This window comes from Homo sapiens, chromosome 7, assembly GCF_000001405.40.
Source record: "Homo sapiens chromosome 7, GRCh38.p14 Primary Assembly".
NCBI classification, from domain to species: Eukaryota; Metazoa; Chordata; class Mammalia; order Primates; family Hominidae; genus Homo; species Homo sapiens.
Genome location: NC_000007.14, coordinates 64,541,396 through 64,565,895, shown reverse-complemented (window position 1 = coordinate 64,565,895; position 24,500 = coordinate 64,541,396). Strand labels below are relative to the sequence as shown.

At 41.5% G+C, this 24,500-nt stretch overlaps 1 protein-coding gene and 1 pseudogene across 9 annotated transcripts in view, besides 4 other annotated features; one reads left to right on the top strand and one right to left on the bottom strand.

Moving 5' to 3' along the window:
- Window positions 2,667–2,776: a silencer, noted in NCBI's record as "silent region_18196". NCBI's record gives its function as "represses an Ori minimal core promoter by ATAC-STARR-seq in GM12878 lymphoblastoid cells {active_cell/tissue: GM12878}" and the evidence as "EXISTENCE:reporter gene assay evidence [ECO:0000049][PMID:35858748]".
- ZNF680 (zinc finger protein 680) overlaps window positions 2,825–24,500 on the top strand; it is a 64,003-nt gene continuing 42,327 nt past the window's right edge. For 6 of the 9 annotated variants that reach the window (XR_428175.5, XR_001744687.2, XR_007060018.1 and 3 more), the window contains exons 1-3: window positions 2,825–2,971; window positions 21,464–21,590; window positions 22,094–22,189. Coding sequence is in view for 6 of the 9 variants with exons in the window: in NM_178558.5 (NP_848653.2) it covers window positions 2,942–2,971; window positions 21,464–21,590; window positions 22,094–22,189 (253 nt within the window). In the remaining 3 variants the exon portion in view is untranslated. Of the gene's footprint in view, window positions 2,972–4,622; window positions 4,951–21,463; window positions 21,591–21,688; window positions 21,820–22,093; window positions 22,190–24,500 lie in introns of those variants that run through there. The other 3 variants (XM_047420310.1, XM_047420311.1, XM_047420309.1) reach the window with 3 other exon arrangements.
- Window positions 2,877–3,236: an enhancer, noted in NCBI's record as "active region_26058". NCBI's record gives its function as "activates an Ori minimal core promoter by ATAC-STARR-seq in GM12878 lymphoblastoid cells {active_cell/tissue: GM12878}" and the evidence as "EXISTENCE:reporter gene assay evidence [ECO:0000049][PMID:35858748]".
- Window positions 6,411–6,705: an enhancer, noted in NCBI's record as "tiled region #12132; HepG2 Activating non-DNase unmatched - State 6:EnhF, and K562 Activating DNase matched - State 5:Enh". NCBI's record gives its function as "activates a minimal TATA promoter and a strong SV40 promoter by Sharpr-MPRA in HepG2 and K562 cells {active_cell/tissue: HepG2 | K562}" and the evidence as "EXISTENCE:reporter gene assay evidence [ECO:0000049][PMID:27701403]".
- Window positions 11,264–11,769: an enhancer, noted in NCBI's record as "H3K27ac hESC enhancer chr7:64014505-64015010 (GRCh37/hg19 assembly coordinates)". NCBI's record gives its function as "activates a minimal SCP1, AML or CMV promoter by ChIP-STARR-seq in naive H9 embryonic stem cells {active_cell/tissue: H9 hESC(naive)}" and the evidence as "EXISTENCE:reporter gene assay evidence [ECO:0000049][PMID:30033119]".
- On the bottom strand, window positions 13,830–14,398 carry BNIP3P42 (BCL2 interacting protein 3 pseudogene 42; annotated as a pseudogene).

The window sequence follows — 24,500 nt, the reverse complement described above, 5'->3', positions numbered from 1 at the left end:
CGCGATTGCACTCCAGCCTGGGTGACAAGAGCGAAACTCCATCTCAAAAAAAAAAAAAAAAAAAAAATGAGGCCAGGCGTGGTGATTCACACCTGTAATCCCAGCACTTTGGGAGGCCGAGGCAGGTGGATCACCTGAGGTCAGGAGTTCAAGACCAGCCTAGCCAACATAGTGAAACCCAATCTGTACTGAAAATACAAAAATTATCTGGGCATGGTGGTGTGCGCTTGTGGCCCCAGCTACTCGGGGGGCTGAGGCAGGAGAATTGCTTGAATCTGGGAGGCAGAGGTTGCAGTGAGTCTAGATTACTCCACTGCACGCCAGCCTGGGTGACTGAGCAAGACTCCATCTCATAAATAAATAAATAAAGCAAATCTAACATAGAAGCATTTTTCATAGTTTTAATGCAGCCAACAATTGATCAAATGCTTTTCTATAAATGCTACAAATGAAGGCATAACATCAAGTGATTTGAGAGTTAAATTACCTCAACATTCATATTTTGAAAATTTAAAATTCTTTTCATGCAAAACAAGAAAAGTCAAATATAACTATAACGCCTCAAAAGATAAATCCTTGCTTCTTTTAGTCTTACACAAAAGTAAATGATATATTTTAACTTTGGATTACTCTGTATAATAAACACTGTTTAGAGTAATGTCTAAAATGTTAGTGTCTTAGAGTTTTCTACTGCGAATTACCTGATGATTACTTCTACTTGATTTCTAATTTTTTTTACATTTACTGAATTTGAAGAATATTATTTAATGTGAACACTCTGGTGTTTTCTAAGGTATACTTCTTAGAACAAATGGTTTTTCTCTATTTATTATATTATTCATAGGGTCTGTCTAAAATACAAATTTCCTAAAGTTGAAGAAAGTGTCAACAACTGATTGAGGGTTTCTCTCCAGTATAAATTCTCCTGTGTACAATAAGATATAAGTGAAGATATTAAACTCAACTTTTCAAAATCAGGAAATGTAACATTAAAAAATGAGGTGAATCTTAATAACATAAATAAAGTATACAATCACAAAAAACAGATACTGTCCGAATCCACTTACATGAGATAGCTAGAAACAGAAACCAAAATGATATTTTGAAAAAGATAAATAATAGGAAATTGGGCAGTTGTTTCAGGGGTATTGAGTTTTGTTTAGAAGATAAAAATGTTTTCCGAGCGTGGTGGCTCATGCCTGTAATCCCAGCACTTTGGGAGGCCAAGGTGGGCAGATCACCTGAGGTTGGGAGTTTGAGACAACCCTGACCAACATGGAGAAACCCCATCTCTACTAAAAATACAAAATTAGCCAGGTTTGGTGGCACATGCCTGTAATCCCAGCTATTCGGGAGGCTGAGGCACTAGAATCACTTGAACCCGGGAGGTAGAGGTTGCAGTGAGTTGAGATCACGCCATTGCACTCCAGCCTGGGTGACAAGAGCAAAACTCTGTCTCAAAAAAGAAAAAAAGAAAAAGAAAGACCAGGGAGGGATCTGTAGACATAGAGCATTCTTCTTCTGTGGCCCCATCGTCCTTTGTTCACTGTCTGATCTCTGGAAGAAAGGTGGGCAACAGGTGGTCTTCCTGTTGTTATTTTATTCCTGCTGTCCTCTGCTCTTTCTATGGCCACTATCTGTTCTACCCTTGGAACTGAAGAGAGATGTTGGTAGGGAAAGACTTTCCCCTTATTTATGGCAGGAAAAGGATGTTCAAGCCCAGTGTGGTGGCTCATGGCTGTAATCCCAGCACTTTGGGAGGATGAGACAGAAGGATTACTTAAGGTCAGGGGTTTGAGTCCAGCCTGGCTGACATGGCAAAATTCCATTTCTACTAAAAATACAAAAATAAGCCAGGCATGGTGGCACATGCCTGTAATCACAGCTACTCTGGGGAAAATAAGGCAGGAGAATTGCTTGAATCCGGAATGTGGAGATTGCAGTGAGCCGAGATTGCACCACTGCACTCCAGCCTGGACATAAGAGCAAGACTCTGTTTGAAAAGAAAAGAAGAGAAGAGAAAGGAAAAGAAAGAAAAGAAGAGAAGAGAAAGGAAATAAAAAGAAAGGAAGAAAAGAAAAGAAAAAAGAAAAGGGATGTTCAGGATTTCATCTTCTGCCATCAGAGCTGCACTTCAATGTGGCAGCTATTGGCCACCTGTGGCTACTGGGTGCATGGAATGTGGCTGGTCTGAACTGCGATGTGGTAGAAAGGTAAAATACATAGTTTTAATTTTTTTTCCAAAATATATATACTTTGTTAATAATTACATACTGGTCACATATTAAAATGATAATATTTTGGATATATTGGGTTAATTAAATTTCTACAATGAATTCCTCCTGTTTTTTTTTCTTTTTAAAATTTTCCTTCTAGAAAATTTAGAATTCACGTGGCTCACATTCAATTTCAGAGGACTGCCTTTTTAAAAAAAAATGTCAGGCTACCCGCTCAAAGGACAAGAAGCCAGGAGCTCATAAAATTGGAAAATTTTAAATAATTGTTATTGCATTATTTTCATGTGTGAATAGCCACATAATATATTATTTATAAAGGCATACGACCTTATACGCAGGGTTATATGCAAATACTCTCTGGTGTGAGCCTGGTCCGTTCAGGGAGGAAGCCCTTCCCTGAGAACCCTGCAGCTTGGATTTCACTCTTTCTACGTTCAGCCCAGCCGCTGAGCACATATTCTGTCACTCAGGGCATTAGGGGGTGGCGCCCTAAACATTATCCAATCAGGGACGCGGGGCTGGGACCCGTCCAATCAGGCACGCAGCTGGAGCGGACAGGACGGCTTCCGGGATTTGGCGGGGCCTTTGTCTCTAGCTGCTGCGGGAGCTCCAGGTCTAGTCTTTACTGCTCTGTGTATTCTGCTCCTAGAGGCCCAGCCTCTGTGACTCCGTTATCTGCAGGTATTGGGAGATGCACAGCTAAGATGCCAGGACCACCTGGAAGCCTAGAAATGGTGAGAGTGCGGTCCGACACCCCGAGAGAGGGGGAGGGGCTGGTTGGAACCGGTCGGAAGTGGCTGTGGCAGGACTCCAGGCTCCAAGCACTGGGCTCCAAAATCCGCGGCCCGAGTTGTCCTTGGCGCAGCTCGGTCCTCAGTCCCCTTCAGCCATAAGATGGCGGCTGGGCTGACAGCCGGACCCCGGGCGTCATGTCTCCTCCCTGCGCAGTGACTGTGCCTTGGCCTGGAGCCCTCGCTGGGCAGCTCTGCACCCGCAGTGCCGCATCTCTGCCGATAACTCGGGGTGCAGGGTTCATAAATGGGAAGCGCTTTGGTCCATGGGGTCCCAGTCCCTCCTTTTTTCTATTAAAAATTCATGGAAGTCACTGCAAATATATTTAAAAATGTAATAGAAGAGTGGTTCAAAAATCGTAGAGCACCCAGCTATGATTTGTAATTTGTGGTCCATGGGAGGGGCTTGAAGGAAAGACTTTTAAGTGGTGTATGATGAATAAAACCAAATTCAATAATCGGTTAGGTACAGTTACATAACTTCTTAATTTGTAAGATCAAAGTGGAAATTTTCTGGTTATGTAATCGGAGGGTACTTGGCAGTTTATAGTTGGTTAAGCAAGAATTTTATTTCCCCCAATGTAATACTTTACAAAAAACAATGTATTTGAGTTAGATTTTTTTTTTTTTTTTTTTGAAACGGAGTCTCGCTCTGTCGCCCAGGCTGAAGTGCAGTGGCACGATCTCGGCTCACTACAACCTCTGCCTCCCGGGTTCAAGTGATTCTCCTGTCTCAGCCTCCCGAGTAGCTGGGATTACAGGCGCCCGCCACCATGCCCGGCTAATTTTTGTATTTTTAGTAGAGACGGGTTTCACCATGTTGGACAGGCTGGTCTTGAACTCCTGACCTTGTGATCTGCCCGCCTCGGCCTCTCAAAGTGCTGGGATTACAGGCGTGAGCCACTGTGCCTAATGTAAATTTTTTTTTTTTTTGAGACGGAGTCTTGCTCTGTCGCCCAGGCTGGAGTGCAGTGGCGCGATCTCGGCTCACTGCAAGCTCCGCCTCCTGGGTTGACGCCATTCTCCTGCCTCAGCCTCCTGAGTAGCTGGGACTACAGGCGCCCGCCACCACGCCTGGCTAATTTTTTTGTATTTTTAGTAGGGACAGGGTTTCACCAAGTTAGCCAGGATGGTCTTGATCTCCTGACCTCGTAATCCACCCGCCTCGGCCTCCCAAAGTGCTGGGATTACAGGCGTCAGCCACCGCGCCCGGCCCTAGTGTACATTTTTGATACTATATTTTAATTAATCATTTTTTGAGAAATCATTGGATGGTACTTTTTAAAAGATTTGTTTTCCGTTTGTAAAAATTTTCTGTAAGAAGAAAGCAAAGAGTAATCCCTGGACACTATTGTAAAAAATCTCTGCGCCTCTTTTCCTTTTATCTTCCATAGGCACAGAGATCTTATCAGAATTTTGGGGGGTCACAGTTTCCCTTTGGAAACTTTATGGGGTGATGTGTCCTCGGCTACCCTTCAGATTTTTCCTGGTCCTGGGTTTCAGTACTGTCTGGGAATAAACCATGATACCCACCATGACTATGTCTGCTAGAGTGCCTAATGAATATCAGCTCCTGGGTCATTTTCTCCCACAGGACTGCCTGAGGTACAAAGTGTAGCCTCTCGAGGGAGCAGGTGGATGCCCTGGAGCTGAGAGAAATCTCCTGGTGCACTCTTCCTTGGAAAGGCTGACACCTTGAGACATTAAGATTGTCTTCACCCAACTCAGCTTCCGTTTCCTTGGGACACATTGCTGGTCAATCAGATGCTGGTATTGAGGGAAAAACATAGAAATAATTTCTGGATTCTCTAAGGGGGCAGAAAAATAGTGAAAAAAAATGATGAAAAAAGAGTGAAAGACAAATAGTGAAAAATTTGTAAAGGAAATTAAAAGGTAAAATATTTACGAATGGTGTAAAAGAGGTGAGTTTCAGAAAAAAATTAATATCTACATATATTCCATTTGTTAAAAATTCTCATTTACTATTTTGTTTTCCAGACTGAGTTTAGTAATTGTCACAGGTAGTTTTTTTACGGCTGGGTAATTTTTTTTTTTTTTGAGACAGTCTCATTCTGTCACCCAGGCTGGAGTGCAGTCACATGATCTTGGCTCACTGCAACCTCTGTCTCTTGGGTTCAAGCGATTCTCCTCCCTCAGCCTCCTGAGTAGCTGAGACTACAGGCGCTAGCCACCACACTCAGCTAATTTTTGTATTTTTAGTAGGGATGAGGTTTCACCATGTTGGCCAGTCTGGTCTCAAACTCTTGATCTCAGGTGATCCACCCGCCTTGGCCTCCCAAAGTATTGGGATTACAGGCATGAGACACCGCACCCAGCCTAGCTGGGTAATTTCAAACAGAATTCCAAGCCTTAACTTTTAGAATGCTAGCTATCTAGGGAAAAAATAGAGAAAATCTCTTCTCCATTTTGGCTTTAGAAAATGAATACATTTCCGGCCGAGTGCAGTGGCACACGCCTGTAATCCTAGCACTTTAGGATGCCAAGAGGGGTGGATCACCTGAGGTCAGGAATTCGAGGCCAGCCTGGCCAACATGGTGAAGCCTTGTCGCTACTAAAAATACAAAAATTAGCCGGGCGTGGTGGTACATGCCTGTAATTCCAGCTACTTGGGAGGCTGAAGCAGGAAAATTGCTTGAACCCGGGGGGTGGAGGTTGCAGTGAGCCAAGATTGTGCCACTTCATTCCAGCCTGGGCGAAAGAGTGAAACTTCATCTCAAAAAAAAAAAAAAAACAGAAAAGAAAATGAATACATTTCCACCAGAAAATGTGGTAGGTAATTGGTGAAGTTACATAGATTCTTGAAAACATTAGTACCTCTTTTTGCATGGTAAATTTGTGACAGTGAATATTTCTAGTCTATACCCTGTTATCTTGATTTCTGAGTTTTATGCTAAATTTTATGAGATGAAACTTGGTACCTCCTAGAAGTGTTTCCAAATGAATAATTGTTTACTACATAATTTTTAATGGAAATAATAAAATAATACATTTATTATCTAAAAGGAATACTTTTGCTTTTCTTATTGAGATGTAAAATGTTATGCATCTTCAAAAAAGTCCTCCCTGGCCAGGCACAGTGGCTCAAGCCTGTAATCCCAGCACTTTGGGAGGCCAAGGTGGGTGGATCACTTGAGGTGAGGAGTTTGAGACCAGCCTGGACAACATGGTGAAACCCCGTCTCTACCAGAAATATAAAAAATTAGCCACATGTGGTAGTGGGCACCTGTAATCCCAGCTACTCAGGAGGCTGAGGCAGGAGAATTGCTTGAACCCAGGAGGTAGAGGTTGCAGTGAGCTGAGATCACACCACTGCACTCCAGCCTGGGTGACAGGGCGAGACTCTGTCTCAAAAACAACAGCAAAAAAAAAAAACCTAAACAAACAAATAAAACAAAAAGTGGATTTATACGCCTGTGCTCCAGACTTGCTGAGTCACTCTGGCCCGGCTGTCTGCCTCGGCCTGTTTCTGACCAAAGCATATCCATGTACCTTACAGCCCCCCAAATGAATAAAGCCTTTCCTAGAAGTTGCCAACTTCCTAATGAAAACTTTGCCCTTGACTTCGGTAATATCAAAAATTGCAGATATATGTGGAAGGAAAATAAACTCTTGGGACCCTGAACTCACTATGCCAAAAGTAAAGCTGGGAACTGGGTCATGCAAAGATTGGCTTCCTTTTATTCCCAAACAGCTGTAATTTCACATGCTTACTTTATCTTGTATAAAATGTAGAGTTACTGAGGGAGAGAGAGAAGGGGGAATGCATGATTGACTTCTCCGACCCCTTTCTTTCTACATGTAAAATATAGATTCACTGAGTGCTAATCAGAGCCTCATGGGAATGTAGCCAATAGCCTCATCACCTACACTCCCTCTTGTTTCCCCCACCCGGCCTTTTTTCTTCCCCTCCCACTTGCTCTTTCCTCTTTAAATACTGAAGTTCCCAAAACATTCTTTGGAAAAAACACAGGACACAGATCCTATTGCGACTTGTGTTTCTTTCTCCCCGGTGTGTCCTCAACATTAACAAAATAAATCTCAAAATTGATTGAAAAAAAAAAAAAGCAACCCCTTTTCTGCCTAAACTTTGCAATCTTTAAAGATTTATAGTTGGTGCTTCCTCCTTTGGAATTCAAATTTTTATTACATAAATCTGTGTTTTATTTTACAAAGTCTAGAAACTGCCTCAAAACAGTAACAACTTCATCTTCAGTAAGACCCTCCCAATCCCCTTCCGTCTTAACCTTAACTACATCTGCCTGTGGGTCCCCAGATTTCCAGGGCCCTGTAGCTTTTCTCAGTATAAAGGCTTCTTCCATGGCTGGGGTGAGCAGCCTGAGACATCTGCAGGGGAGGCTCCCTAGAAAGAGCTGGGTCTTTAATAATCTCCTCCCAGGGTGAGAGAGGACTGAAAACTTACAGGAAATTAGCTCTGATAACAGACCCCCTTTTCCCACAGCTGCCACCCCAGGATTCCCACCCACTCACAAACATACCCATAAATTGATGTGTCCACACTCCTCCCAGGACTAGGCACCACCATCAGGAATTTCACCACAGCATTTTTGATCCTAGTGTTTTTTTTTGCCAAAAATCCACAAAAGTGTTTATAGTCTCCTGCATATCCCCACCCCCAGACACTGAATCTGCAGCAGCAACCTTTTTCCTCCACCAACCAACGGTTCTGTACCACCTGTTCATAATCTCATCTGCCTGCCCGGACACAGAAATAAACAAGTACAGCCCCACCTGGGCCACTATCTGTAGGGCAAACAAGTCCTTCCACCTACATTGCACTATCCTCCACCTGTGGATTTTATTCCTTTTAACTTTTATTTTTGTTTCAGGGTTGGGGGTAAACGTGCGAGTTGTTATATAAGCAAAATTGTGGCATAGGGGTTTGGTGTAGATTATTTTGTTAATGAGGTACTATGCATAGCATAAACAGGTATTTTTTTCTAGTCCTTTCTGTCCTCCTACCCACCACCCTCAACTAGGCCTGTGTCTGTTTTTCCTCTCTTTGTCCTCCGCCTCCGGGGTTCAAGCAATTCTGCCTCAGCCTTCTGAGTAACTGGAACTACAGGTGCATGCAACCACAGCCGGCTAATTTTTGTATTCTTAGTAGAGACAGGGGTTTCACCACATTGGCCAGGCTGGTCTCAAACTCCTGACCTCAAGTGATCTGCCTGCCTCAGCCTCCCAAAGTGCTGGGATTGCAGGCATGAGCCATTGCACCCGGCCTTTTTGGTAAGTTTTTTTTTGTTTTGTTTTTTTTTGTTTTTTTGTTTTTTTGAGACGGACCCTTGCTCTGTCACCCAGGCTGGAGTGCAGTGGCACGATCTTGGCTCACTGCAACCTCTGCCTCCCGGATTCAAGCGATTCTCCAGCCTCAGCCTCCTGAGTAGCTGGGATTACAGGTGCGTGCCAACACACGTGGCTACTTTTTGTATTTTTAGTAGAGACGGGGTTTCACCATGTTGGTCAGGCTGGTCTCGAATTCCTGACCTTGTGATCTGCCTGCCTCAGCCTCCCAAAGTGCTGAGATTACATGTATGAACCACTGCGCCTGGCCTTATGGTAAATTTTTTTTTTTTTTGAGACAGTGTCTCGCTCTGTCGCCCAGTCTGGAGTGCAGTGGCGCGATCTTGGCTCACTGCAAGCTCTACCTCCCAGGTTCATGCCATTCTCCTGCCTCAGCCTCCGGAGTAGCTGGGACTACAGGTGACTGCCACTACGCCTGGCTAATTTTTTTGTATTTTTAGTAGAGACGGGGTTTTACCATGTTTGCCAGGATGGTCTCAATCTCCTGGCCTCGTGATCCGCCCGCCTTGGCCTCCCAAAGTGCTCGGATTACAGGCGTGAGCCACTGTACCCGTCCCGCCTTATGGTAAAATTTTTAAAATTCCTTACAAATTTTGAATAATAGACCTTTGTCAGAAGCATATTTTACAAATATTTTCTTTTTATTGTGTAGGTTGTTTGTTTACTCTATTGATAGTTTGCTTTGCTGTGAAGAAGCTCTTTAGTTTCTTTAGGTCCCATTTATCAAGTTTTGCTTTTGTTGCAATTGCTTTTGGCATCTTCATCATAAAATCTTTGCCAGTTCCTATGTCAATAATATTTTCTTTATCCAATTGACATAGGTATTTTTTAGATTTTCTTTCAGGGTTTTTTACAATTGTATGTTCTACATTTAGGTCTTTAATCACCTGGAGTTGATTTTTTTTTTATATGGTGTAAGGAAAGCATCCAGTTTCAGTCTTTTACATAGTGCTAGCTGGTTATTCCAGCACCATTTATTAAATAGGGAATTCTTCCTGCATTGCTCTTGTGACCTTTGTGGAAGATCAGATGGTTGTAGGTGTGTGGCATGATTTCTGGGCTCTCTTATTCTGTTCCATTGTTCTGTAGTCTGTGTTTGTACCAGTATCATGCTGCTTTGGTTACTCTGTTGTATAATTTGAAGTCAGGTAATGTAATGCCACCTGCTTTGTTCTTTTTGCTTGTGATTGCCTTGGCTATTCAGGTTTTTGGTTTTTTTTCGGTTTCATATAAATTTTAAAATACTTTTTTTTTTTTTTTTTTTTAGTTCCGTGAAGAATGTTATTGGTAGTTTGATAGAAATAGCATTAATTCTGTAAATTTCATTTGGCAGTATGGCCATTTTAATGATATCAGTCTTTTCTATCCATGAGCATAAAATGGCTGCCCATTGGCTTGTGTCATCTCTGACTTCTTTAAGAAGCATTTTGTAATTTTTGTTTTAGAGATTTTTCACCTCCCTGATTAGGTGTATTCCTAGACATTTTATTATTTTTGTGGTTATTGTGAATGGGATTTTTTTTGATTTGGCCTTAGGTTGAATGTTGTTGATGTTCAGAGATGTTACTGATTTTTGTACACTTATTTTGTATCCTGAAACTTCTATTTTCTAGTTTGTGTGCATAGATTTTCTAGTTCATGTGCATAGAAGTGTTCATAGTAGACTTCAATAGTTATTTGTATTTCTGTGGGGTCAGTGGTAGTCATTTCTAATTGTGTTTATTTGGACCTTCTCTTATTTCTTTATTATTGTAGCTAGTGGTTTATCTTATTTTATATATATATATATATTTTTTTTTACAAAGGTTTAATTCCTGGATTTTTTGGTCTCGTATTTTTTTTCTGTTTAAATCTTCAGTTCAGATCTGATTTTGGTTATTTCTTGTCTTTTCCTAGCTTAGGGGTTGGTTTGCTCTTGCTTTCTCTCATTCTTTTATTCATGATGTTAGGTTGTTAAATTGAGATCTTTGTAACTTTTGGATGTGAGCTTTTAGTGCTATAAATTTCTCTTTAACACTGCCTTAGCTGTGTTGCAGAGATTCTGGTATGTTGTATCTTTGTTCTCATTTTTTGCAATGAACTTGATTTCTGCTTTAATTTCATTATTTACTCAAAAGTCATTTAGACTCAGGTGGCATAATTTCCATGTATTTGTATCACTTCAAGTGTTTTTTTTTTTGGTATTGAATTATATTTTTATCAAGCTGTGCTCTGTGTGTGTGGTTGGTGTAATTTTGGAATTTGCTGAGGGTTGTTTTATTTCTGATTGTGTGGTCAATTTTGGAGTATGTGCCACATGGTAATGAGAAGAATGTATAGTATGTTGTTTTTAGATTAAGAGTTTTGTAGGACTGTTTGTCCAAGTGTTGAGTTTAGATCCTGAGTTATTTGTAAATTTTCTGCCCTAATAATCTAACAGGGTCTGTGGGGTGTTGTATCCCACTATTATTGTGTCAGAATCTAAGTCTCTTCATAGGTCTCTAAGAACTTGCTTTATTCATGTACATCCACAGATTTTTTTTTTAATTTTTTTAGTATTTATTGATCATTCTTGGGTGTTTCTCGGAGAGGGGGATTTGGCAGGGTCATAGGACAATAGTGGAGGGAAGGTCAGCAGATAAACATGTGAACAAAGGTCTCTGGTTTTCCTAGGCAGAGGGCCCCGCTGCCTTCCGCAGTGTTTGTGTCCCTGGGTACTTGAGATTAGGGAGTGGTGATGACTCTTAACGAGTATGCCGCCTTCAAGCATCTGTTTAACAAAGCACATCTTGCACCGCCCTTAATCCATTTAACCCTTAGTGGACACAGCACATGTTTCAGAGAGCACGGGGTTGGGGGCAAGGTTATAGATTAACAGCATCCCAAGGCAGAAGAATCTTTGCCAGTACAGAACAAAATGGAGTCTCCCATGTCCACTTCTTTCCACACACAGAAACAATCCGATCTCTCTTTCTTTTCCCCACATTTCCCCCTTTTCTATTCGACAAAAACCGCCATTGTCATCATGGCCCGTTCTCAATGAGCTGTTGGGTACACCTCCCAGACGGGGCAGCCGGTCAGAGGCGCCCCCCCACCTCCCAGACGGGGCAGCGGCCGGGTGGGGGCTGCCCCCCACCTCCTGGACGGGGCAGCTGGCCGGGCTGGGGCTGCCCCCCACCTCCCGGACGGGGCGGCTGCCAGGCGGAGGAGCTCCTCACTTCCCAGACTGGGTGGCCGGTCAGAGACGCTCCTCACTTCCCAGACGGGTTGGCGGCAGGGCAGAGACACTCCTCAGTTCCCAGACGGGGTCGCGGCCGGGCAGAGGCGCTCTTCACATCTCAGACGGGGCGGCGGGGCAGAGGCGCTCCCCACATCCCAGACGATGGGCGGCCGGGCAGAGACGCTCCTCACTTCCTAGACGGGATGACGGCCGGGAAGAGGCGCTCCTCACTTCCCAGACTGGGCGGCCGGGCAGAGGGGCTCCTCACATCCCAGAGGATGGGCGGCCAGGCAGAGACGCTCCTCACTTCCTAGACGGGGTGGCGGCCGGGCAGAGGCTGCAATCTCGGCACTTTGGGAGGCCAAGGCAGGCGGCTGGGAGGTGGAGGTTGTAGCGAGCCGAGATCACGCCACTGCACTCCAGCCTGGGCAACATTGAGCACTGAGTGAGCGAGACTCCGTCTGCAATCCCGGCACCTCGGGAGGCCGTGGCGGGCAGATCACTTGAGGTCAGGAGCTGGAGACCAGCCCGGCCAACACAGCGAAACCCCGTCTCCACCAAAAAATGCGAAAACCAGTCTGGCGTGGCGGCGCGCGCCTGCAATCCCAGGCACTTGGCAGGCTGAGGCAGGAGAATCAGGCAGGGAGGTTGCAGTGAGCCGAGATGGCGGCAGTACAGTCCAGCCTCGGCTTGGCATCAGAGGGAGACAGGAGAGGGAGAGGGCACAGATTTTTTTTTATAACACCTTTCTGTATTCTGCTTTTTCTCTCTGTAAACATTCTTTCAAGTGCACACAGTGTGCCCAAGGCCACTCCTTGGATGCCTGAATCCAGTGTCTACTGAAATTCAGATGTCCAAGACTTCAAGAGCATGTCTAAAGACTTGGCTGTTATAGGAGAAAATAAAAATAAGAGGCTCTATTCTCCTACCTGAAAATAAGGAAGGCTATTAAGGCTATTATCCTCATCTCTCTTTTCTTAAAGCATTTGGATTATGTGTACTTTTTTTCTCTGCTTTATTGAAATATATGTAAATCATATAAATCATATTAATCTAGGTGTAGCTAAATAAACGATTCAGTATATAACAGTGGAGTTGGAGTTGAACCTTGGTTTCTATTTATTACTTCAGAACAATTAGCATTGTCACAGGAAGCATTTGTAGACAACCTACAATCATATACTTTTTTTTTTTTTTTTTTGAGATAGAGTGTTACTTTGTCCCCCAGGCTGGAGTGCAGTGGCGCAGTCTCAGCTCACTGCAACTCCATTTCCCAGGTTCAAGCAATTCTCCTGCCTCATCCTCCTGAGTAGCTGGGACTACAGGCATGTGCTACCACGCCTGGCTAGTTTTTGTATTTTTAGTAGAGACAGGATTTTGCCATGTTGGCCAGGCTGGTCTTGAACTCCTGACCTCAGGTGATCTGCCCATCTTGACCTCCCAAAGTGCTGGGATTACTGGCGTGAGCCACCGTGCCTGGTCAACATTCATATAAATTAAAGAGTATTTTCTACAATAATATAAATATAAGGCCACGACATTTACTTTGAATGAAACCGTTAGTCATTTTAATATTGTTATTTCTACTTTTTAAATATAAAGTGTTTTAACTGAATTATGGTTAAAGAAAATTTTCACAAATCCTACATACATTATGACGAGTACATTAAAATTATTTATATTTAGATACTTATCTCTAATATCCAAATAAAACTTATTACCAAATTGTTACAGTAGATACTAGTCTTACATACTTATTACCTTATCTGGTAGGGATAACTATAAGTAAGCATGAGTTTAGTGTCTTTCATTTCAGTAAGTTAGAATGCTGCTATTAAAGGACAAATAAACACAAATGATGTGACCACCAGAAAACTATAATAGCTCTCCTCTTAGCTGTGTTGCAAGCTCAAATATGTTCCACCATATAAACAAAATCAGATTCTAATTTTTCATCAAAAAGTGCTGGTGGTGACCGAGCACAGTGGCTCACGCCTGTAATCACAGCACTTAGGGAGGCCAACGCGGGTGGATCACTTGAGGTCAGGAGTTGGAGACCAGAATGGCCAACACAGTGAAACCTGTCTCTACTAAAAATACAAAAATTAGCTGGATATGGTGGCAGGTGCCTGTAATTCCATCTACTCTGGAGGCTGAGGCAGGAGAATTGCTTTAACCTGGGAGGCGGAGGGTGCAGTGAGCTGAGATCATGCCACTGCACTCTAACCTGAGTGACAGAACGAGACTCCATTTCAGAAAAAAAGTGCTGGTGGATGTAGTGTGATGTATTCCAATAGAATCCCCCTTTCAATGGCTAAAAGATGAGAGAGCAGCAGAGATGGAGGAATCTTATAAAATTCTGCTGAGAATATGCTCCCTTTTTCGTAATGCTCATGTTTCTCATGCTGAGAGTAGCTGTGTAATTTGGGTATTTAGAGAGAAATATTTTATAGGGAAATATTTTCTGGCTGACTTCATCAATCTTACATGTAATCTGAGTTTTTTCTCAAGATACATTTAACTTATTTTTTCTCTCGGTATAATCTTTCTGAGACTGAGAGCTGTTTTTCTCTCCAATGCTTTGAGTGTCTGTTTCAGAAGCCATTTTAGCATTTCACAGTGTCTGTGAATGAGGTGGGCTGTCACAATGGAACTCTTGGAGCTGTCTCTTTACAGACTCATGCTGGAAATCCAGCAGAATGTTTTCCATGTCACCATTATAAATAGAAACTGAGCCTAAAACTGTTCCCGTTCTCATTATTGTGAAGGTGCATTCCTACCCAGGAGGCCTGCAGGCTCTCCTCCTGCAGCTCAGGCTTCACTCTCTGATGTGGCGCTGGAGTGCTGCTGTGGCAATTGGGGTTCATGTGAGATGTGACCTCCTGGCTGTTCACCCTGTATTGTGGGCTGTACCTCAGTGGCAGGAGGTAGGAGTCAAGAGAAAACTCCAGCCACCAGGAGAGGGCAAGCAGAAGTGCTGTAGTCCAACGCTTGGGGAGTAGAGAGCCATTGCTTCAAAATGTAAATAGCCAAAATGATAGCACACTATTCAAATGTTTCTGTAGGAGACTGAGAGCCTACCTTTAGCAGGCACCTGGTTTTATATTGCACAACTACCCTCTGTCATGAAGATCTTAAAAGTTTATTTTGTAATTATATATAACAAATTAACATACACGGATGGCCTCCCCAATTACCAGGTGAATTTAGAGTGAACTATGCATGACATGGTGCTGTAAGTTTTTCTACTCATGGGCTAATTATGGTGACCATCTTTCTGTCTTTGCAATCTGTTAAGCAGATTGACCTTGATGCATGTCAAATTCTGGTTTAATTGTGTAATATAACAGTTTTATTTCTGTTCAGTCATTGTGGAGTTGCTCTAGGGCTGGAGAAAATTTGTCTTTTAATTATATTTCCCAAGAACTGTCTAGAATTACCAGACATGACATAAACATATAAGGCGCCAACCAAGCTTTACTCTAGAGGGGCCTTTCCCTCTTAGGCTTCCAGTCAGCTCACAATTGTGCTGCAGAATGCATACTCTCCCCTAAATACGCAGGCAGAATTGTTTCTCTGCTTGTTTGATAATCTGTAGTCCTCTATAGTCACTTTTAAAGAGGTTAGACCAAATTTCACAGGGCAGCAATCAACCATTTTACCTCTTGCAATGATTCTTGTATTTTCAGACCTGAAACTGATTCAGAGACCATGAGGCTCACAAACTTAGAGTAACGTGTGCATTGAGTAGAAATGAGAATCTCTGCTTTCTCTTTCCTCGTGTTGCTAAAATGTCCATAAATCTGCAGGTGACACCTGCTACTACTCCATTTATTCAGGACCTAAATCTGCAGCTCCAGATTCTGAATCGGGATCTTGAGATTTTGGGAAAAAATAAAACATTTTATCTGAGAAATGCATGTTCATTTAGTTATAAGACTCAAAGAGACATTAAAATGAGACCACAGTTATGTCTTTCTTCCTTCTTTTAGCTATTGATTTATCTCTTAAAACTGCTTACTATAGCCATAAGTAGCTATAAATTAAACTAATAATTCCACACTGGACACTATAACCCACACCCTATAGCTTAACAATGTATAGCCAATTAGTAATCGATTTTATTTTTGTAAATAAATAAGAATTTCTAACAACTTTGTATCAGTCCACTCTCTGTCCCTCTATTTTTGCCTTTACAAATCCACTTGTAACTGCTGCTAAGCAAAGTGTAGATTTTTGACAATTTGAATCTTTGCTCTCAAGTTAACAATCCTCAAGCTTGACCCAAATAAACTGTCTACTTATATTCATGTTGCCTCAGTTTTTTGTTTTTGTTTTTTTTGAGAGGGAGTCTTGTTCTTGTCGCCCAGGCTGGAGTGCAATGGTGCGATCTCTGCTCACTGCAGCCTCTGCCTCCTGGGCTCAACTGATTCTCCTGCCTTAGCCTCACAAGTATCTGGGATTACAGGCACGTGCCACCACGCCCAGCTGATTTTTTTGCACTGTAAGTAGACATGGGGTTTCACTATGTTGGCCAGGCTGGTCTCAAACTCCTGACCTCAGGTGATCTACCTGCCTCGGCCTCCCAAAGTGCTGGGATTACAGGTGTGAGCCACTGCGTCCAGTGTCTCAGTTTTTTTTTTTTTTAGGTAGACATATCATTTAGAATGTGCTAGAGCATCCTCTATAAGGGGATCTCTCCTTTGGTTGTACCTCATTTGCTGTAACACCCAAGAATGCAGAGCTAGGTTGATGCCACCTAGAATCTGCACATAAGGTTTGGCCTCTGCCTGGGATTTACAATACAGGGCCAGACTTAGGATTGAGAATGTACAGAAAACCAACAGGAGGCATGTTCTGCATTGTGAGATGTCAACATAGACATCTTAAAGTTCCCTTTTGAGAGTATGGCTTCTTGAGCTTTTCAGATCTTGTTCAGTGACCTGCTACAGTTATGTGAGAGGCACCAGGTATACATAGAATCTCATGGGAGAATCCCTAAGTGTAAACAAGCATCTTAGGAGTGAGAGAGCAAGGCCACAGAGTATCCAAAGCCATGACCACAGCTGTATCTACCTGTAAAATGTGGTACTGGAGTATTCTTGTCCTTCCTCTTACCCAAGAGCTAGCTCATCAGGACAGGTGATCCAAATTCTGGAGCTCCACCAGGGCAGTTTCATTGTTTTTTTTTTTTTTTTCTTTTTTTGAGGCGGAGTCTCACCCTATTGCCCAGGCTGGAGTGCAATGGCGTGATTTCAGCTCACTGCAACCTCTGCCTCCCGGGTTCAAGCGATTCTCCTGCCTCAGCCTCCTGAGTAGCTGGGATTACAGGCACATGCCACCACGCAGGCTAATTTTTGTATTTTTAGTAGAGACGGGGTTTCACCATGTTGGCCAGGCTGGTCTCAAACTCCTGACCTCGTGATCCGCCCACCTCGGCCTCCCAAAGCGCTTGGATTACAAGCATGAGCCACCGCGCCCGGCCAGTTTCATTTTTTATATAGGATCACCCTGAGTCTCTCCTGCTTGGCACATCATCGGGTCATCAGCCCAGGGTCATTGGGAACCCTCTCACAATCACCTAGGCATCTTTGAGACATTTAAGGTTGTCCAGAGCAGAACTGTGTCAGGCTGACAAGAGTGGTTAATTATGCTTCTGTCTCAGTGTAAGACAAATGAGTCAGTCTGCATTTGTTCCTCCCCTCATACAAGAGATGTCTTGGTTGGTACCCAGATGAGAGTTTCTTAAGTTTCCTGGTGCTTGGGTGAAAAAAAAGGAAAGGGTCTGGAGACTCAAATAGATAAACTAATTGCTTCCATTTTATGTGGCCATTAGAAAATAGTTGAAGCAGTCAGGGTTCCTACCATGCAGGATCTTTAAGTCTAGACTAGTAACTGGATAAATGGTTGAAGCAGTATATGGTTGGTACAATGTATAGATGTGTGGAAAAGAAAAAAACTTGGCCTTTGGCCACTTTCTTTACATTGTTGTGACTTCTGATGTCATCACCTGAAAGGATATTTATGAACAGAAGAGTTGTTATTGTTTGTATTCTTTTTTACTTTCCTATTAATACATATTTATGTCCTAATAAATTACCCTAGAAAACCTTAAGGAATTTGTTTAAATTATTTATTAGTATACATTATAAAATTGACATGGCAGTGGCTAAAAGAAATTAGTTAACACAAACTCTGTAATGTAAGTTTCTCTTAGGTAAGCTTAGAAAAATCAGAACTGGAAATACCTCAGTGGCATAGAGAGCAGAATTCTACATAGGGTCCACTCCCTGCCCCAGTTCTGCTAAGATTCACTCTTTTTGGAGGCCTTACTTAGGTCTGACCCCACTGTGGAGTCTTGCCTCACCAAACTGATTAGAAGAAATTAGTTTTGGCTGGTGAGTCCTGCAGCCTTTTTAGAACTGGTGCCCATAATTCTTTGAAACTCAGAAGCAGATTAATGGGAAAAATATTTATTTTAGGGCCTTAATTTTTTATTTTTATAAAAACCAGTACTTGCTGAAATGTTCCATGTAGCAACTTGTTTTCTATTACTGCAGATTTAGTAGTTGCTCCATAAGCCACAAAAAAGTAAATATAAACACAATAAAAATTTTTTCTAAATTACATTAAGCTTTTCTGTATCCCTCTCATCTGTCTATATTTAGCTTTTATTTTATACATCTTCAAGAAAAAATCAATGACAGAGAAACAGAAGAAATAAAAATCCTGGGCTCTTTATCCTGAGATTTATTGAACACCTCATACCAACTCCCAGGGTGTTATGAGGATTAAATCAAATAATGTATTTTTCCCAGCACAATGCTGTGTAACACTTGAGGACATAGTACCTGCTTAATAAACGTTACGCTAGTACATGTGTACATGTTGTTTTCCAAATGCAGACTCATTCAAACATTGCTCCCTTTTGTTTCCTCTGTAGACTTTAAAGGACCAGCAAAGAATATGATACTTGAGGATGGAGATTGGTTGTCTTTATTTGTGTTGTGACAAGAGTGCTGAGTTTAAGGGAGTCTGTGCTGTGCCTGCTTTCTCCAACTAATGCTAATAATGAGCCCAGGAAGAGCAACATCAGCATTGACAGAGGATTTGTTTAAAACACCCATTCATGGACCCTTTCCAAACCTGCAGAATCACATTACATAGAGTGAGACCAAAATTATCAAGTGATTTATAAGCTCATTAAAGCTTGAGAGACAATGCTTAGCTAAGTGGTTATCAGCCCAGTCTTCTAATTAGGATTACATGGCCAATTTAAAAAATCTTACTTGTGTCTTTTCCACAGGTTCTGTTAATTGTTCTTGGTGGAAGCATCCGTATTGTTTTAAGTAAGGGCCTCATGTGACTCAAAATGAGGACAGAGTCAAGTATGAGGGGTTCAGGATACATTCATGAGAGTTAAGTTCCACCTTTGCATTGAAGGTTGGTCACAGGGCCTGTTCTGTTCGGGTTTGGTAGAGACAGGTCAGTGTGGCCCATATTGCCATTATTGTAGCAGAAATTGCTGGTGTCTGTGCCTGGGGAGGGCACCTGAGAACAGGAAAAGAGAAACATATATTTAAGAGATGGAGTCTCACTCTGTCGCCCAAACTGGAGTGCAGTGGTGCTATCTCGGCTCACTGCAACCTCTGCCTTCCAGGTTCTAGCAATTCTCCTGCCTCTGCCTCCTGAATAGCTGGGATTACAGGCTCATGCTGCCATGCCTGGCTAATTTTTTTGTATTTTAATAGAGATGGGGTTTCACCATGTTGCCCAGGCTGGTCTCGAATTCCTGAGCTCGGGCAATCCACCTGCCTCGGCCTCCCGGTATGCTAGGATTATTGGCCTGAGCCACTGTGCCTGGCCGAGAAACTTGTATTTTTATCTTCATGGAGCGTCTCATTGTTCCCGAATCTCTTCTTGTATAAAGGACAGAAGTGGGTGGACTTTTTCTCCAGGTTTTGGTTTTTCTGCCTGTGGGTGTGGTGGTAGCAGGTAAACAGGGGGTGCTGACACCTTTAGAGGCATATTCTCAAGATACAAGTGTAATTTGTCCAGAGAATCTCATCTGAGAAGGAATTCCAAAAAAGGAGAAACAGGAAGAATTGGTTCTTTTTTTTACTTAAACCTGTCTCAGATCAAGAGCTGTGTCCACTCTTCCTCCTGGAATGCCATGTGTTTAGTACTTGCAAACCTTTACTTCTCTACTCAATCTTTTCCTCCCTAATGAGCTAGTTTCAATTACTTTAAAAATTCATTATAATAGTCAAGGGTCTCAGAAAAATATTTTTCCTGTGTACCAGAGCCTTCTTTACATTCTCTGCATCATGGCTTCTTATGTGCCATGCAGAATTCTCATTATGAATTTAGAATCTGCAATATTAAAAATATTTCCTTTGTAGCTGTTGAATTATGGGAACGTGTGGATACTCAAGATTTCTACTGGGGAAAAGCTGGGGTCCTTAGTAAAGAAAAAGAACATGTAATGTTGAGGATCCATCTGTGTTCTCTATTAGCTCTATACAGAAAAGGATCAAGAAAATGCTTATTTAAACAGAATGGCATTTATCACCCATGAAGTTCTGAAAAAAATTTTAGGAGATTCCTGCTTTCTAGGGTGCTGAAGAAAGACTACTTAAAATCACTATTTAATAGTACAGTAAATAGGAGATACCTGTATTTTGAACTTTGCATAAAATTGATGTTTCTTTATGGTTAAATTTAGATTATAATTTACTTTTTGGGGGCAGTCTTCCAGCAGTGATGCTGTGTTCTTTGTGCATCAGCACATCATAAAAATTTGTTCCTAGTGCAGTTGATGTTAATGATTCACTTGGCTAAAGAGCTGTCTGACAAGTTTTTTTTATAGTTAATTACTTTTCATTAGTAAGTATCTTTATGCAGCTGATGTGCATAAATTATCACATTTGATTTGGCAGCTGCCTTTCTTCCTTAGGTTTTATTTGCATATATGTCTTTGGAAGATGAAGGCTCTCATCTTTATTTACAGAAAAACTGGGAAAACACAGGATCTTTTTTTTTTTTTTTTTTTTTTTTTTTTTGAGATGGAGTCTCACTCTGTTGCCCAGGCTAGAATGCACTGGCGCAGTCTCAGTTCACTGCAACCTCCACCTCCCAGGTTCAAGCGATTCTCCTGCCTCAGCCTCCCAAGTAGCTGGAATTACAGACGCACATCATTGTGCCCGGCTAATTTTTGTATTTTTTTTTTAGTAGAGATGGGGTTTCGCCATGTTGGCCAGGCTGATTTCGAACTCGTGACCTCAGGTGATCCGCCTGCCTCGGCCTCCCAGAGTGCTGGGATTACAGGCGTGAGCCACCATGCCTGGCCAACACAGGCTCTTTTACTTAGTGGATGTTTGACAAAATACTCTTCTTGGGCCAAAAACATTGGCATTACTGGTGAGCTTGTTAGAAATTCAGAAATTCAAACTTTATTCCAGATTTTCTAAAAACAATCCGCATAATAAGATCTTCAGTTTATTGTACACATTAAAATTTGAGATGTACCTTCTAATTCAACATGTCTTTTCTATCTGAAAAATATACACAACTCATTGTGTATGATGTAAATATAGCACTCAAAAATTTACATGTTTGTATTCATGTCCTGTTATAGTTTTTCTTCAAAAAAGTATATATACACTGATGTTGTGGATCTTATGCTGTTCTCTTATCTGAGTTAAAGAATATATTAGAGAATATTTCTGCATTGAAATTTATTTTATTGTATAATTTGACTCACTCCTGTAAGTCAGAATCAGTTTTCTATACTGTCTTACTTTGCCTTGAGCCAAAATAAAAATTCTGCCCATGGTCATTTAGTAAATATATAAGTGTGTGTGTGTGTGTGTGTGTGTGTGTGTGTTTTTCAGGGACCACTGACATTTAGGGATGTGGCCATAGAATTCTCTCTGGAGGAGTGGCAATGCCTGGACACTGCACAACGGAATTTATATAGGAAAGTGATGTTTGAGAACTACAGAAACCTGGTCTTCCTGGGTGAGGATAACTTCAACACACAATTCCTAATATGCCCTAAAGGTTTTATTTCTCTTTTTTTGCATAACTTGTGGTAATTTGTGCTTTGCATAAATGAGTTTCAGATCCCTGTTTTCAAGAAAATCTTTGAGCTTTGTCCATGTAGAAAAAAATTCCTTCAGTACGTTTCATCTTGACCTGAACTTTCCACATTCCTGAGCTGATCTATGTCCTTCACTCTAGATTAGTGGTAATTACAGAAATTTGATGGCATAAAATGTTGTTGCCCACACCTTAAAATTTAATTGCCCCCACCAATTTTTGATTCAGTAGTACTGGGTAGTGAAATTAAAGACCTAAAAATTTAAAGTATTTTCTAAATATTTAGAAATGTCTGTTATAAATTAGTAATTTGGGATTAATTTACTAGAATATGCTATGACATTCTCTTTACTGAGCACATTAGTAGTTTGGTAATTGGAGAATATGAGCAAGATTCATGTTATTTATTTTTAATAAAACAGGTATTGCTGTCTCTAAGCCTCACCTGATAACCTGTTTGGAGCAAGGAAAAGAGCCCTGGAATAGGAAGAGACAGGAGATGGTAGCCAAACCCCCAGGTAGGTGAGAGTGATAGTGAATACAACAGATGACACAGATGAGAGGTCCAGATGTCAAAGAGAAAGTCAGTTCTTGACATGGGATTTGGGAAGCTATGTTCCAGAGAAAATAGTTTTTGGGAAGCTCAGTTTCTTTTCTCTTGCTCTCACATAGGGGCATCTTCTTTATGCTCTTAAATTCTCTAAAAATTCTACTTTCCCATCAGTGATCTTCCTTCAAGTTTACTGTAAGCCAAAGTCCTCTTTATGGCTTATAAGAGACTGCACAATCTGACTGATGTTCCATTGTTTTAGGGACACACAAATATCTGCAAAATTTTGAGAAACTGTTATTTTTTAAGTTCTCTTTCTACATCACGTCTGAAATGTGTGTGATTAGTGGTTTCTTTTCCATTTTTTTGGTTCATTTTTCTGCACATTTCATATTTTTATTATTATAGTCTTTTTTGATAGTCGAAATATAGTTCGAAATTATAAAGTATAATGTCCTTCTTTGTTCTTTTTCCTCCAGATTGCTTTGACTATTCAAAGTTTATTGTAGTTTCATATAAATTTTAGGATTTTATTTTTCATTGCTGTAAAAAAATGCCACTGGAATTTCGATAGGGAGTTCATTGAATCCATAGATTATTTTGGATAATATGGCACTTTAACAATATTTATGCTTTCAATCCATAGACATAAAATACTTTAAAATTTATTTGCGTTGGCCAGGCACAGTAGCTCACACTTGTAATCCCAGCACTTTGGGAGGCCAAGGCAGGGAGATCACTTGAGGTCAGGAGTTTGAGACCAGCCTGGCCATCAGGGTGAAATCCCATCTCAACTAAAAATACAAAAATTAGCCTGGCATGGTGGCAGGTTCCTATAATCCCAGCTACCCAAAAGGCTGAGGCAGGAGAATTGCTTTAACACAGGAGGTGGAGGCTGCAGTGAGCTGAGATTGTACCACTGCACTCCAGCCTGTGTGACAGAGACTCTGTCTCAAAAAATAATTATTTGCCTCTTCTCTAATTTATTTCATTAATATATTTTTATTGTAAAGATTTTTTTACCTCCTTGTTTAAATTTGTTCTCAGAAATTATTTTAATGCTACTGTAAATAAGATTGTTTTCTTAATAATCAGTTTGCTTTAAGTGTATGGAACCATAACTTAAACTTGTATGTTAATTTTATATTTTGCTAATTTACTGAATGTATTTATTAATTTAAACAGGTTTTAGTGTACTGTTTATAATTTTTTATATATAAGAGCATATGATCGATAAGCAGCAAGTTTTTACTCATTTGTCTTCAATTTCAGTGAGTTTAAAAACTTTTTTTGACTAATTTTTCTGCCACATACTTGCAGTTCTATGTTAAAATAAAGTATTTACAGTGGGTACAATATAGTTTTGCATTGGTGTCTGAATTTAAAGGAGCAAACACCTCTTTAAGTTTTTATAAACTGGTTTAGAAGGTAAAGATTTTTTTTGTTGGGTTCTCAGGGTGATGGGATGTCCTCTGGGTTTGTAGTGGAGAGGGGCGTAGCTTGGTCACAAGGCTGCTGGGTCTGCACTAGGGCTCACCTTTAGTTGGCTTAACAGGGGCTTGGGTAATTGTAATTTTCATTATATTTTGGAACAGACTAAATATTTTTCTGGATGTTGCTCTGTAGGGCAGACAGTAGGGCAGGTTTTTGTAATTGGGTCTATATATGGTGGGCCTTATATCAGAATGTGGATGAGTATGGCTTTCACTGAGTATCAAAGAGAATTTTTTCAGGTCACTGTGTGGGTTCCTTTATAGGCAGAACTGGCCGTGAACTGTGGCTCAGGGAGCTGGAACTGAGTCATCGAACTGCTTCAGAAACCACAGTAAAGGACAAGGTCTGCAGGCCTGCCTGCGTGGCTATAAATGGCTGTCTTCCTCCAGGCCTCTGGAAGGGCACGGTCTCTCCCAGACTGTGGCTGGGAGGAGTTTGGGATGATTAGAGAGTAAGTTCAGAATTCTCAGTGGGACCAAATTTGGTGGGCCATTTCCTGGTCTGCAGCCTAGAACAGGGGTCCTGTATTTTTCCACCTGAATGAGGGCCTGCCTTCTGAAAAGAACACTCCTTAATCTTAGACTGTAGCAGTTTCACAACACCCTCTCTGGATCTCAAAGCTCTCTTAAAGGCACTTATTTTTGAGATGGGTTTTGGCTTCATAACCCAGGTTGGTCTTGAAATCCTGGCCTGAAGCAGTTCCCCAACCTGAATGTACCATGTAGCTGTCATTACAGGTGTGAGCCATGGCTCACATAAATGCATTTTTGACAGGGATGGCTGAT